Source organism: Homo sapiens, chromosome 2 (genome assembly GCF_000001405.40).
Source record: "Homo sapiens chromosome 2, GRCh38.p14 Primary Assembly".
Lineage (NCBI taxonomy): Eukaryota > Metazoa > Chordata > Mammalia > Primates > Hominidae > Homo > Homo sapiens.
Window position 1 is genome coordinate 166,219,042 of NC_000002.12, and position 14,864 is coordinate 166,233,905.

The following is a 14,864-nucleotide window of genomic DNA, read 5'->3' on the forward strand; positions in this document are numbered from 1 at the left end:
CTATTATGAAAAAGTCAAAAAATAACAGATGCTGGCGAGGGTGTGGAGAAAAAAAGAATGCCTACACACTGTTGATGGGAGTGTAAATTAATTCAACCATAATGGAAGACTGTGTGGCAATTCCTCAAAGACCTAAAGACAGAAATGCCATTCAACCCAGCAATCCCATTACTGGGTATATACCTAAAGGGAAATACATTTTTCTATTATAAAGACACATGCACACATATGTTTATTGGAGCACTATTCACAATGGCAAAGACATAGAATCAACTCAAATGACCATCAGTGATAGACTGGATAAAGATAATGTGGTAAATATATACCATATAATACTATGCAGCCATTCAAAAAAAAACGAGATCATATCCTTTGCAGGGACATGAATGGAGCTGGAGGCCATTTTCATTAGTAAACTAAGGCAGGAACAGAAAACCAAATACCACATGTTCTCACTTATAAGTGGGAGCTAAATGATGAGAACACATGGACACATAAAGGGTAACAACACACACTGGGGCCTATGGGAGGGTGAAGGGTGGGAGGAAGGAGAGGGTCAGGAAAAATAACCAATGCATACTGGGATTAATACCTCAGGGATGAAATAATCTGTACAACAAACCCCTATGACATGTTTACCTATGTAACAAGACTGCACATCCTGTACATGTACCCCTGAACTTAAAATAAAAGTCAAAAAAGTCACACAATAGGAAATGAAAAAAATAAATGTATATTTCAAAATTGCTAAAAGAATAGCTTTTTAACTTTCTTACCACAAAAAAATGATAAGTGGGTGAAGTGATGGTTATGTTAATTAGCGTGACTGAAAATTTCTACAATGTTTATGTAGATCAAAACATTGTTTTGTACCCCATAAATAAGCACAATTTTTGTCAATTAAAAATGAACAAATATTTAAACAGAAAAAAACATACTACAGAACAAGATCCCTGATGAACATAGATGCAAATAACTTCATCAAAATATTAGCAAACTGAATGCAACAGCCCATTAAATGATCATGTACTACGACCAAGTGGGAGTTGTCCCTAGGATGCAAGGATGGTTCAACATATGCAGACCAATAATGTGATACACCACATGATCTGAGAAGGATAAAAATCACATGATCATCAGAAGAGATTCAGAAGAAGCATTTGACAAATTTCAACAACCTTTCATGGTAAAAACTAAAAAAAGAAAACAAAAGCTAGGTATAGAAGTTGCTATAACTTGAAGGTTTGTCCCCTCCAAAGCTCATGTTGCAATTTAATTGCAATTGTGACAGAATTGGGAGGTGAGACCTTTAAGAGGTGTTTAAGTTATGAGAATTTTACCCTTTTAAATGCATTAATGCTGTTATCTCAGGATTGAGTTCATTATAAACAGGCAGGTTCTGCCTCCTTTTCTCACTTATTCTCTCTTTGTGCCATGTGTATCATAACATGATACCTTACAGCATGTTATGACACAACAAATAAGACCTCACCAGACAGCCCCTCAGTCATGAACTTTCCATCCTCCAGTACTGTGATCCCATAAGGTTTATGTTCATTATAAATTACCCAGTCTGTGGTATTCTGTTATAGTAGCACAAATGGATGAGAACAGAGGAAATATACTTCATGATAACAAAGACTACTTGAAAATCCCACAGCTAACATCGTATTCAATGGTGAAAAACTGAAAAACTTTCCTGTAAGATCAGGAATAAGACAAATATGGCTACTCTTGCCACTTGTATTTAACACAGCACTAGAAGTCCTAGCCAGAGAAATTAGGCAAGAAAAACAAGTAAAAGACATCCCAATCTGAAAGAAAAAAGTGTTTACAGATGACATTATTTTATATGGAGAGTACCCTAAAGACTCCACACATCAGGAAAATCTGTTAGAACTAATAAACAAATTTACTAGATGTTGAAGGATATAAAATCAACATACAAAAATCACCTGCGTTTCTATACACTAACAATAAACAATCTGAAGAGAAAATTAGGAAAGAAATCCCATTTATGATAACATCAAAAGAAATAAAATACTTAGGATATGCTTAACCAAGGCATTGAAAATGTATGCACTGAAAACTACAAAATGTTCATGAAGGAAATTAAAGAAGACACAAATAAATGGAAAGACCCAGTATTCACGAATTAAATGACTTAATATTGTTAAAATGCCCATACTACCCTAAGTGATCTGTGAATTCAATACAGTACATATCAAAATCCCAATAGCATTATTTACTAAAATAAAAAAAGATCCTAAAATTCATATGGAACCACAAAAGACTCTGAATAGCCAAAGCAATCTTAAGAAAAAAGAACAAAATGGAAGAATCACATTTTCTCATTTCTTATTTATTTATTTATTGAGAGAGAAGATCTCACCCTGTTGCCCAGGCCAGAGTGCAGTGGCATGATCATAGCTCACTGCAGCCTCATACTCTTGGGCTTCAGTGATCCTCCCACCTCAGGCTCCTAAGTAGCTAGGACTATAGGTGTGTGCCATCATGCTTGGCTACTTTTCAAATATCTTCGTAAAGAAGGAGTCTATCTTGCCCAGGCTGGTCTCAAACTCTTGGCCACAAGTGATCCTCCAGCCTTAGCCTCCCGAGTTGCTGGGATTATAAGCATGAGCCATTGCACCCAGTCCCCACAGGTCCTCATTTCAAAATGTATAACAAAGCTACAACAATTAAAATAGTATGGTCCTGGCATAAAACAAATATATAGGCCAATGAAACAGGATAGAGAGCCCAGAAATAAACCCATGCATAAATAGTTAACTCATATTCAACAGGGGTGCCAAGAATACACAATAGAAAAGAGGCCACTCAACAAATAATGTTGGGAAAACTGGATATTCACATATAAAAAAATAAAATTGAATTCTTATATTATACCATACACAAAAATAAACTCAAAATAGATTAAACATTTAAACCTAAGACCTGAAAACTGTAAAACTTGTAGAAGAAAACATAGCAGGAAAGCTTCATGATACTGTTCTTGACAATGATTTCTTGGCAATGACTCCAAAATTCAAACAAGAGCAAAAATAGACAATTGAGACCATATCAAACTAAAAAGCTTTGGGAAAAAAAGGAAGCATTCAAGAGGGTGAAAAAGCAACCTATAGAATGGGAGAAAATATTTCCAACTATATATCTAATAAATGGTTAATATCCAAAATATATAGGGAACTCCTGCAACTTAAGAAGGCATGCAAATGACCAACATGTATATTAAAAGATGCTCAGTATCACTAATCATCAGAAAATTCAAATAAAAACTGTAATGAGGGCCAGGTGCAGTGGCTCATGCCTGTTATCCCAGCACTTTGGGAGGCCAAGGTGGGTGGATCATGAGGTCAGGAGATCAAGACCATCCTGGCCAAAATGGTGAAACTCCATCTCTACTGAAAATACAAAAATTAGCTGGGCATGGTGGCACATGCCTGTAATCCCAGCTACTTGGGAAGCTGAGGCAGGAGAATCACTTGAACCAGGGAGTCGGAGGTTGCAGTGAGCTGAGATCGCGCCACTGCACTCCAGCCTGGTGACAGAGTGAGACTCCTTCAAAAACAAACAAACAAACAGCAACAAGGCCGGGCGTGGTGGCTCACGCCTGTAATCCCAGCACTTTGGGAGGCCGAGACGGGCGGATCACGAGGTCAGGAGATCGAGACCATCCTGGCTAACAGGGTGAAACCCCGTCTCTACTAAAAATACAAAAATTAGCCGGGCATGGTGGCGCACGCCTGTAGTCCCAGCTACACGGGAGGCTGAGGCAGGAGAATGGCGTGAACCCGGGAGGCGGAGCTTGCAGTGAGTCGAGATCGCGCCACTGCACTCCAGCCTGGGCGACAGAGCGAAACTCCGTCTCAAAAAAAAAAACAACAAAAAAAAAAAAAAAAAAAAAAAAAAACAGCAACAAAAAACCGTAAAGAGATATCATTTCATACCTGCTAGGATGGCTATTACCAAAACAAAAACAAAAACCACCCAAATCAAAAGATAATAGGTGTTGGCAAGGATATGGAGAAATTAGAACCTTTGTACATTGTTGGAATGTAAAATGATGTAGCTGCCATAGAAAACAGTATGAAAGTTCCTGAAAAAATTAAAAATATAACTACCATTTGATCTAGCAATGCCACATCTGAGCATATTTTAAAAATTTGAACTCAGGATCTCAGAGTCCTTACTTCCATGTTCACTTCAGCACTATTTACTGTATCCAAATATGAAAACAACCTAAATGTCTATTGATGAATGATGGGATAGAAAATGTGGTATTTGTATACCTGCATGTGCGTGTGCACGTACACACACACACACAAACACACACTATTCAGCCTTATAAAGAAGGAAATCCTGCCATATGCAGCAACTTGAATGAACCTGGATAAATTTATGCTGAGTGAAGTAACAGAAAAAATATTGCATAATTCCACTTCGGTGAAGTAACTAAAATGGTCAAACTCATGGAAACAGAGAGAAGAATGGTGATTGCCAGGGCATGAAAGGATGGGAGAATGGAGAATTGCTATTCAATGGGAATAAAGTTTCAATTATGCAAGATGAATAAGTTCTAGGGACTTCCTGTAGTACTTCGTAACTATAGTTAACAATATATATAGTATACTTAAAAATTTTGTTAAGCAGGTAGATCTCATATTAAGTTTCCTTACCACAATAATTAAAATTAGGAAAGGCAAAGAAAAGGATACCACTTTCATTTGTTTTTTTTCTTTGGAATAAATGAGTTCATCACAAAGCATCTACTACGTACTTCTACATAGCATGTGTTAACTAATTGAAGTGTTGGTCATGTTTTTTCAGGGAAGAGTGGAAAGAAATTCTAAATCATTCAGAAAAGGTCAGAAAATAAAAGCTATACTTAGATTGCAAGATGAAATACTGGAAGAATGATAGGGGATATGAGTTTTTGATGCTTCTAAATCAGTAACTGTTTCCTGACTTTGGTGGTGATAGTATCAACCCATCCTATTTTACTTCCTGCAGTAGAAATGTTGTAAGAATAACATTAACAAGCAGGAAGATTAAAGTCAATTGGATGTTGGCTGTTTTATTTATGCTCATACTGCTCTTTCTAGACACGCTTAATTTATCCTATGCAGGGAAGACTGAGGAATTACTTGTGTGTGCTTATATATTACATGTATGTATATATAATGCTTAAGTTGAGAAAAATAAATTGAAAATCAGTGTACACTTTATAAATGTAAAATGGAACATGAAATTTAAAAATCTTTAAAAATAAACATCTGTATTTGTAAATGTCAGGATAAATAATGCAATATTTACTAAATTTTTGTCTACTTGCAAATAGTCAATCATGCACACTAATGACATTTTGGTACATGTACATCTGTCTTCTTAGATGCTAAGCCAGTACCCAAAATTATTATTCTCTTTTGTAATTCTACCATTTAGTCTCCAAAGATCTCTTTTTGTATAGGTGGTACCACAACCAGAGTATCTCAGTTAGTTGACAAGAAACTCCAGAATTAGACTCCTTTATCTCTTGCAAATCACAAGCAATACTGTAGATTCTACCCTCTAAAATGTTTTAATGGAACATATTTCCTATTCTCCATTGACACACAGGACTAATTTGGAGACTTAGTGTGGTCCAGGTGGCAGGTCAAGCAGGGTCTGAAATAGTCTTTGGTCCTTCCCTAGTCATTTTGTGCATCACTGCTAGATTAATTTTTTGTAAAGCTCAGTCTCTAGAAAAAGCAATTCTGGAGCTAGATCCATAATGAAACTACTTTTTAGCTGTCAGGCCATGTGCAAATAAGATAATTTTTCTGAGAGGTTAAATGAGGATACTATGTCTTTTAGATTTGTTGTAAAATTTGACTACAATTATGTTAGAAGTATTTTACACAGGATCTGACATATCATGGAGTCTTAATAAACATCAATCTCCTGCTTCCATATTCTTCCCTACTCAACATATATGAATGAAACACCAGCTGCTATTAAAAAAGGTCTAATACGGCTTTTTATATCTACTCTCAGGCAGGTTAAAACCTCATCTTTTACTATTTCTCCAAATCTTAAATTTCTTCAAAACCGAAAGCATTGCTATCCCCCCTGAATTGCTGCCTCTTTTATCAACACAATTCATTTGCTCATTCATTTCTGTTTCACTCCATGTGGGTTAGCCATTCTTTTGCCTCTCCGTTGCTACATGTCTTCTTTCCCACCTTCCAAAGCCTTCTCAATTGTCACGTATTTCATAAACCATTCTATAGCAGCATCTATTTTTACTCTGACTGTCATGTATATTTTTTGTGCTTGTTAATTTTTCTTATTGTATTTATCATGATTATAGTATTTGGGGATAGAGCATAGTAGAGAGTTTAATAGAGTACAAGATACATCGAATTTACTACTGACTCTATCTAACCTTCATCACATACTCGATATATGACCTTGGGTAAGTCACTTAACCTCTGTGTGCCTTTCCTCATTTGTGAAAGAGACTCTGTAATAATACTTTTGTGATTGATGTTATGGGTTGGATTGTGTGCCCTAAGAAGGTACATATAAGTCCTAACCCTTAGCACTTCAGAATGTGACCTTATTTGAAAATAATGTCATTGCAGATGTAATTAAGATGAAGTCATACTGGAGTGGAGTGGGCTCTTAATCCAGTGTGACTGGCATCCTTACTAGTAGAGGAGAAAGACACACAGAGGGAAAATGGCATGTCACTATAATGGGAGAGATTGGAGTTCTGTTGCCATAAACCAAGAAACACCTGGGCTACCAGAAGCTGGAAGAGGCAATAAAATATATTTTCTTAGAGGCTTTAAAGAGAACATGGACCTGCTGACACTTTGAATTTGGACTTCTAACCTCCAAAAGTGTGAGAGAATATATTTCTCTTGTTTTAAGCCCTCAGGTTTGTATTATCCTGTTCTCGTAGGTCAAAGAAACTAATACAGTTGATGTGAAGATTAATTAATTAAAAATTTCAGAAGATTGCTCAAATTACAGTATTCAACAAGTCTTAATTTTCATTACCTGTGTTATTTATTCTGCTATGACATAAACTCCTTGAGCTCAGGAACCATATCTTACGTTGGTCTCCCCAAGCTCCAACCCAATATATATTACACAAAATAAAATAAATAACTACTTATAAAATGTGTTTTGAATAAATAGTGTATTGATTTTTCTTAATTATTCAATCCTCTATAGGAAACATTGGAAAAAACAGAATAGTTGATATATTGCTCAAAACCTATGGGTTTAACCTAAATCATAAGTTAGCCAGAACCTATTATTTAGAAAATTGTTTTCTGTGCAAAAATGAATAAGATTAAGCATATTTGTAATTGTATACTAGTCAATTATTTGAAAAATAAATGAAGTTCTAATAAAATTAATCATGAATTGATATCAAATTAAACTTTACATTATCTTTTTTGGAAAATAATTGTTCATCCCTTTCATTACAATGAAAAATATTTGAAATACTTATCTTCTTTTTCTGTTGGTTGAAATTATCTATGATGACACCAATGAACAAGTTCAAAGTGAAGAATGACCCAAAGATGATAAAGACGACAAAATAAATATACATGTAGAGGCTATATTCATATTTGGGCTGCTTGTCTACCTATAAAATTTACAAAAGTTAGCATTATATGGACAGTAACATTCATTATTTTCTTTTTCACATGGTTTGACCAGGTAATTCAAACAGTGCTATCCTAGGTAAACATAGGATTTAAGAAGCCATAGCATTGTTGAGGTTTAACATAATCACTCTTAACAATTTATTCAACATGTATTCATTACATACTTATTATTTAATTTATTACATACTTATGTAATAAATAATATAATCTTCAAATAACTACAAAGGGCTTAATCATATGCATATTTGTGCTCATATTGGTAGGAAAATTCAATAACTAAGTGACATACTATGTATATGTTATTTCCAAAAGTACTGTAAATGAGACATTATCATATTTATACACATTTTGCCATGTATTTTCTTTTGATTCCGAATACATCTTTATTATATTTTGTAAAAATATTACCTAGGGAGTAATCATTAAAGTTTCTTAGCATGGAACTTATTTCACATAAACTCATCCAAGGTGTTTTAAACTGTAAAAACAGTAAAAGCTATACATTAAAATTATTTTATTTTTATTTTGATAAGCGCATATTTACTGAGCATTTAGTAATGCCAGCCTGCACTAAGTGCCCTGCTTCTATTTTCTTGTTGGGTCCTCACAACACTATGGAGTAGGCATTGGATGATTGTAGACATTTATTAGACAAATGATAGATTCATTAAATTATAGATTAGACAAATAAACTAAGTCTCAAGAAGGTAAGGTAATTTGCCCGAAGTCAGTTGTAGAGCTTGGATGATATGGTACAGCTAGAATTTGAATCAGGCTCTATCTCCAACTGCTGTACTCACAACCACTAGGCTACTATCAGGTGGATGTTCTTCATTGTCTATGTGAGTCCCAAGGGCTTCATGAAGTTATAGTTTGGAAATCACTGAAATAAACTAAGAAGCTTTTAAAAATAAAGTTTAGTGCTAAGATAATCAATACTTACATTAACAGAATCCACTGCTGCATACATAATAATCGTCCATCCCTTAAAAGTTGCCTTTAAGAATAACATTAATAGAATTTGAATGTTAAGCTCATATTCTAAAATAGCCATAAACAGAGTTTTGTCTGTTTAATGTTACCACAATTATTAAGTAATACTAGTAAGTTTTGCTGTATTCAACATGTCCATTTAATGTAAAGATTTTTTTAAAAAGGACATATTCCCAAGTAACATTCTAAATCTTAGTCCCAGTTAATTATTTCTAAATTGTTACAGTTGCCTGTGAATTTCGCACATAACCTTTTATTTTTTAAAGGTGAAGGAAAATTTTATGAATAAGACAGGAAACATCTTTTCTCCATTTTTTAAAGGGTTCTCCATGCCTGTGGGAAGTTCCTCTCATCCCTTCATAGTGTGAAGCAGGAAGTTCAAAAACGTTCATTTTTGAAGCAATATTTGAATGGTGCAAGATGGGAGTCCACATGACACCAAAGAGTCAATTATAAATTAATAACTCAAATGCAACAGAACCCATGCTTCTTATTCATGTAGGAACATGTTCTAGGAAAGACCAACACTTTTTTTTTTTTTTTTTTTTTTTTTTGAGACAAGAGTCTCGCTCTGTAGCCCAGGCTGGAGTGCAGTGGCACGATCTTGGCCCACTGCAACCTCCGCCTCCCAGGTTCACGTGATTCTCCTGCCTCAGCCTCCCAAGCAGCTAGGATTACAGGCGCCTGCCACCACACCCAGCTAATTTTTTTGTATTTTTAGTAGAGATGGGGTTTCACTATGTTGGCCAGACTGGTCTCGAACTCCTGACCTCATGATCTGCCCACCTTGGCCTCCCAAAGTGAAGAGACTACAGGCATGAGCCACTGCGCCCGGCCAAGACTGGCACTGTTTTAAAAACCACACAGTATTTTATCTTCAATTTATAATTAATATACTATTTAAAGAATAACTTATATCCTTCGTCCAATATCTATTAAAATACCAAGCACTCATGAAATGGGACACTTACAACTTGAAGCAGAGATAGGTAACCAAGTCCGACATTATCAAAGTTCACTTTCAGGTTTTTCCATCGCACATTTTGACTAACATTCATAAGGGCAAAACATTCGGAACGATTTGGAACTTGACTTGCAGGAAACCGTGACCCATCTGTGGTGTTAATACACTCATAGAACTTGCCAGCAAACAAATTTACTCCCATGATGCTGAATATCAGCCAGAATATAAGACACACAAGTAGCACATTCATGATGGAAGGAATTGCTCCTATGAGTGCATTCACAACGACCTAGTATTCAAAAGAAAGAAAAGCATGATTAGGATTAGTAAGATGTTAAATAGGCAACATGAAAGAAATGCCATGCAGACATAAATAAATTAGAAAAGCCGCCCTTAAATATCTAAGACATCAAACCAACCAGCCGACTCATGTTTATTAAATGCCTACTCTACACTCAGCAGTGTGCCAAGCAAGACAAAATAAGACATGAACTCTGTGATCACCAGGCTTACAAATTACATGATTATCACACAATAAAATTGTTAGCAAAATATAAGACAAAATAACTAAGATAATATAATAGCTTAAATAAATGTAAAATAAATAAAAATAATAAACCAAAACCTGTTATTGATAAGGTAAACTTGTAAAATCTGTACACTCTGGAAAAAAAAGAAATGTATAAACATAAATGAAAAATATATATTTATATACATTTAAATGTTCATGATCCTATTATTACCAGCATTAAAGATTCCCCCATAGAGAAACTATTGGTGTATATCAGGTAGGTGGAATTATGACTGGACATCATTTTAATTTAATTTAATTATTTTCTTTTCTTATTCTCTTTTTTTGAGACATTCTCCACAAAAGGATTGAGAATCTTTAAATGGTTTAAATCCTTTAGATTTGGCTGGTTCTACGAAATAAGAGCAATCGTTTTAAATTTATTATTATTACTCTAAATACTTTATATGTAAGCCTTTGACTAAATATATATAGTGCTGGCCTCAGTTAAGACAAAAATTAGGAACAGTTTTTCTTTAATCCTTTCTTTATTTCTGCTTTTCAGCATTTGTACTGCTATTGATCACCAGTTTGTCTTTGCCACTCCAGTTTTCATCCAGGGCAATTCCTGTGGCATTTAACACTCTCCAGATTTTCTTATTTACTTAATCTTTCAAAACCTACCTGTCATCTTACACTTCAGCTTGAGCACCCATTCAAGTACAAATGTGTTAAAGATTAACCTGTTAGGGAAGGAGCACTGGGATCCTTCTTTTCTGCAATGTATTAAGCAGGTTCTCAAGATGCTTTAAAATAGAGAAATACTAAGGATCTCTGACTACTAATCAGATCATCTAGGGAGAAGGTTTGCAAACATTTTTATAAATATTTTTAGGCTTTGTGGGTTATATCTCCGTTGCAACTATTCAACTCTGCCATGGTAGTCATGGGTCATACATAAACAAACTGGTATGGCTGTGTTCCAAGAACATTTTTACAAAAACAGGCTGGGGTTTGTTGACCTTTGGTCCAGAGCAATGATTATTTGGAGTTCATGGACCTGTAGAGGTTTCCTGGGGGCATGAAATTATATAACAAACATTATGGTTGTGCTGTCTTTCCGGAAAGACAATTCTAACTTTCATCAGATTCTTACAGTCTATGTGACCTCAAAAAAGATTAGGAGGAATAGGAATAGAGAATGAAGTTCAAAGTAGCCAGCTCTTAATAGAGCCTACCTTTTCATGCTCATTTCCTGCTGCCCTCCCTACTATGTTTATCACGTAGGCACTCTGATACATCTAGTCACTGACCAAGCACACCTTGCACAATCTATTCTGTGCCTCCCTACCATGTGGTATCACTGCCTTGAATGCCTATCTGCCTATGATTTGGGGCTTACTCTTCAGTCATGAAATGTCTGAAATGTCACCTCCTTGTGATGTCTTCCCAGACTTCCCCGGATAGCCACTCCCTACTGTATATTCCTGTATCATTATGTGCCCTTGTCTGTCTCTCTTGTAACCATTGACCCTACTCACTCTTTGGGGACCGGGGTCTATGTACCACTGTACTCTGTGTTTTTTATATCACAACACCTGACACATAGTTGGTGTTTAAAATGTTTTTCTAAAAAATGTGAGTAATGATGGAATCATGGGTCTCTGAGAAAGACAGGCACCTATTGGTCTGATGAGAAGCCAGTTGGGAAAGCTAAAGAGCCTAAGGACTCAAACAAGCTGACTACAATATGCCTCAAATGCATTATTTCATTATTTCATTTATCCTTCAAAATAGCCCTGCGGCATGAATAAATGTCTCTTTTTGCATGGTTAACAAATGTAACTAAATAGACATTTGCCTCTCAAAATATACTAAACTATTCTCCTGCATCCAATTCACCTGTAATACAGATAAAGAACAAAGAGCAAACAGAGTTAAATAGTGGGCTGGCTTAATCACTGAAGGAAGTGGTTTTGTAGGGGAAAGTTGTGATAGATTGTAACATTCTATTAATGCTCAAAAAATTAAGTTAATGTCAATGAATTCTAATACCACCTTTCTGCACAAAATGAAACTTGTAATTTTCAACTTGTAGATAGAATATTTTTGAATTGTGCTTATGAACTTTTTTGTATAATCATGATCTTTCTTTTATACTTGGAAACCGTTATACACTGGATAATTAAAATAGCAGAGATTGCAGTCATAATTAGGTTTGTAGGGATAACAGTGAAGATTTGGTAGGCTGAAAGATCTCTAATGTTCACTTGAGGCTGGTTAAAACCCAAGTTTCTTATCCCCATCCTGGAGTTTCTGACTCAGTAGGTCTGGGGTGAGATCCAAGAATTTGCTTTTTTTTTTTTTTTTTTTTTGATACAGAGTCTTGCTCTGTTCCCCAGGCTGGAGTGCAGTTGCATGATCTCGGCTCACTGCAACCTCTGCCTCCCGGGTTCAAGCGATTCTTCTGCCTCAGCCTCCCTAGTAGCTGAGACTACAGGTGAGCACCACTATGCCCGGGTAATTTTTTGCATTTTTAGTAGAGATGGGGTTTCACCATATTGGCCAGGCTGGTCTCGAACTCCTGACCTCATGATCCGTCCGTCTTTTTAATAAGTTTGTAGATAATGCTAATAGCTGGTCAGTAAACCACACTTAAAGTATCAGTAAGCTGGACTAATCTCCGTGTTAAATTGCTCAGAGAAGGTAAGGTAGGGAGGCAGTTAAGTAAACAAATAAGTAAAATACAATATAATGAGGATTTTAGGTGTCTGAACAGAGAGAGAATATCCAGTTATGTCTCCTGGTGGACGGACAAGGCAACTTTAAATTGAGCCTTAAAGGACAGATAGGTGTTTGTCTGCTATACAAACGGGTTAGGGTCGGGACAGGGCAGGGGAAGCATTCCAGAACAGAGGCATAAAATAGCAGGTATAAATCTGGAGAAGAAATTTTAGAGGAGTACCAACACATGAGGATATGGACTAATTACAGAAAATAGAGTTGTTGTCCTCCATGTGTGTTACAAAGTTGCTGGTTTAATACAATCCTTAAAGCTAGGTTATGGTAGTTGTTATTCATTATAACTTGTTTGTCTCTGCTAATTGAGTATCTTTTCAGGCACTCTGCAGCCTAAGTGCAAATTAAGTAAACTCTCTGAGCTTTAGTTTTCTCAAATATAATTTAGTTATAATTCCACTTACTTTGCAATGTTATTTTAAAGGTGAAATTAAATGTGATGGCTGATGCTGTCTCACTTACCTATCTTTTCTAATGCTCCTTACCCAGGTAGTTTCTTAAACAAATATTATTTGAACACCTGATATAAGTAGGTCCTTGATTACTTATGTATGAGAGATGATGTTAGGAACAATAGTTTCCCCTTTCACTTGGACTTCCTAGCACAGGGAAGATTTCCATTTAATATGAAAAAAGTCACTCATTTGGATCATTCTATTGTTTGACAATATTAGATAAAGGCAGGATTACTGTGATTAACTTATTCCCTTGTTAAACAATATGCACTGAAATACTGTGTGTGTATATATATATATATATAGAGAGAGAGAGAGTATGCATATATATACTAATATGTACAGTAAATGAAATAATATATATACTATACTATATATGCATATTTTATATATAGTCTTTCATATTCTGTATATATTAATATATAATAGTATATACTAATTAGTATTATACTTTTTTAGTAATATACTAGTATATACTAATGAGTATTATACTATTTTTAGTAATATACTATTTAATTAATGCTATAATTAGTATTTATATATTAGTATGCATATATACCATTAGTATATATAATATGCATATATACTATTAGTATATGTAATATGCATATATATACTATTAGTGTATATAATATGCATATATATACCATATATGCATACTATATATAGTATATATGCATACTGTATATAGTATGTAAATGCATACTATATAGTATACATATGCATATATACATATATGCATATGTATATATGTATATGTACACACACATACATAAACAGCCTATGTATTTATGTAAACAGAAACAACTCATAATTTCTACATACCCATTGTTTTTATATTTTAAACCCCATTAAAAAATAAGAACATTATAAAGTTTAGTATTTTCTTACCCTCATTCCTTCAAATCTAGATAAGGCTCTTAGAGGTCTTAAAGCTCTCAGTGTCCGAAGGGATTTAATGGGGCCAAGATCTGAGTAGCCAAGAGTGTTTGCCACTAAAGTAACCAAAGAAACCTATAAAAATAACATTTTCATTAATTGTGTCAATAAAATGATGAAGCATAAAAGGAAAAAGTCAATTCTGAAACTCACTAAAAGCAACTCAACAGGAACAATAAGATGGTATATACGGAGTTGTGTAGTCAATGCCTAAAAATAGGGTAAGATGGATGTTTCTGTAAGGAAATAGATTTAAAAGAAGGTTAACCAAAATAAGAAGAAATAATGTAAGCAAAGTAAGTTGTTTATTCTATTTGAATAGAAATCATGCATATGCTTTTCACACTTTTGTAATCAATTGCTTTGTAATTCCTTATTAAATCTAAAAATTTAATTAGAACAATGGTGAACATTTTAATTATAAAACTCAGGTCAAAATGAAGTGTGTGATTCTGAAGCTAAGCCCTAAAAGTGTGGTATTCACTCAACTAAATCTATGTCTTAGTATAAATCTTATT

General features: G+C 34.6%; 1 protein-coding gene and 1 long non-coding RNA gene across 8 annotated transcripts in view; one reads left to right on the forward strand and one right to left on the reverse strand.

Moving 5' to 3' along the window:
- SCN1A-AS1 (SCN1A and SCN9A antisense RNA 1) overlaps positions 1–14,864 on the forward strand; it is a 220,254-nt gene that overhangs the window by 137,511 nt on the left and 67,879 nt on the right. The gene's annotated exons all lie outside the window — the stretch shown is intronic.
- SCN9A (sodium voltage-gated channel alpha subunit 9) overlaps positions 1–14,864 on the reverse strand; it is a 180,803-nt gene that overhangs the window by 23,857 nt on the left and 142,082 nt on the right. For all 7 annotated transcript variants that reach the window (XM_011511618.3, XM_011511617.3, XM_011511619.3 and 4 more), the window contains 4 exons: positions 14,299–14,421; positions 9,650–9,931; positions 8,629–8,682; positions 7,526–7,663 (listed from right to left, as the gene is read on the reverse strand). In XM_011511618.3, the coding sequence (XP_011509920.1) occupies positions 7,526–7,663; positions 8,629–8,682; positions 9,650–9,931; positions 14,299–14,421 (597 nt within the window). The remainder of the gene's footprint in view (positions 1–7,525; positions 7,664–8,628; positions 8,683–9,649; positions 9,932–14,298; positions 14,422–14,864) is intronic.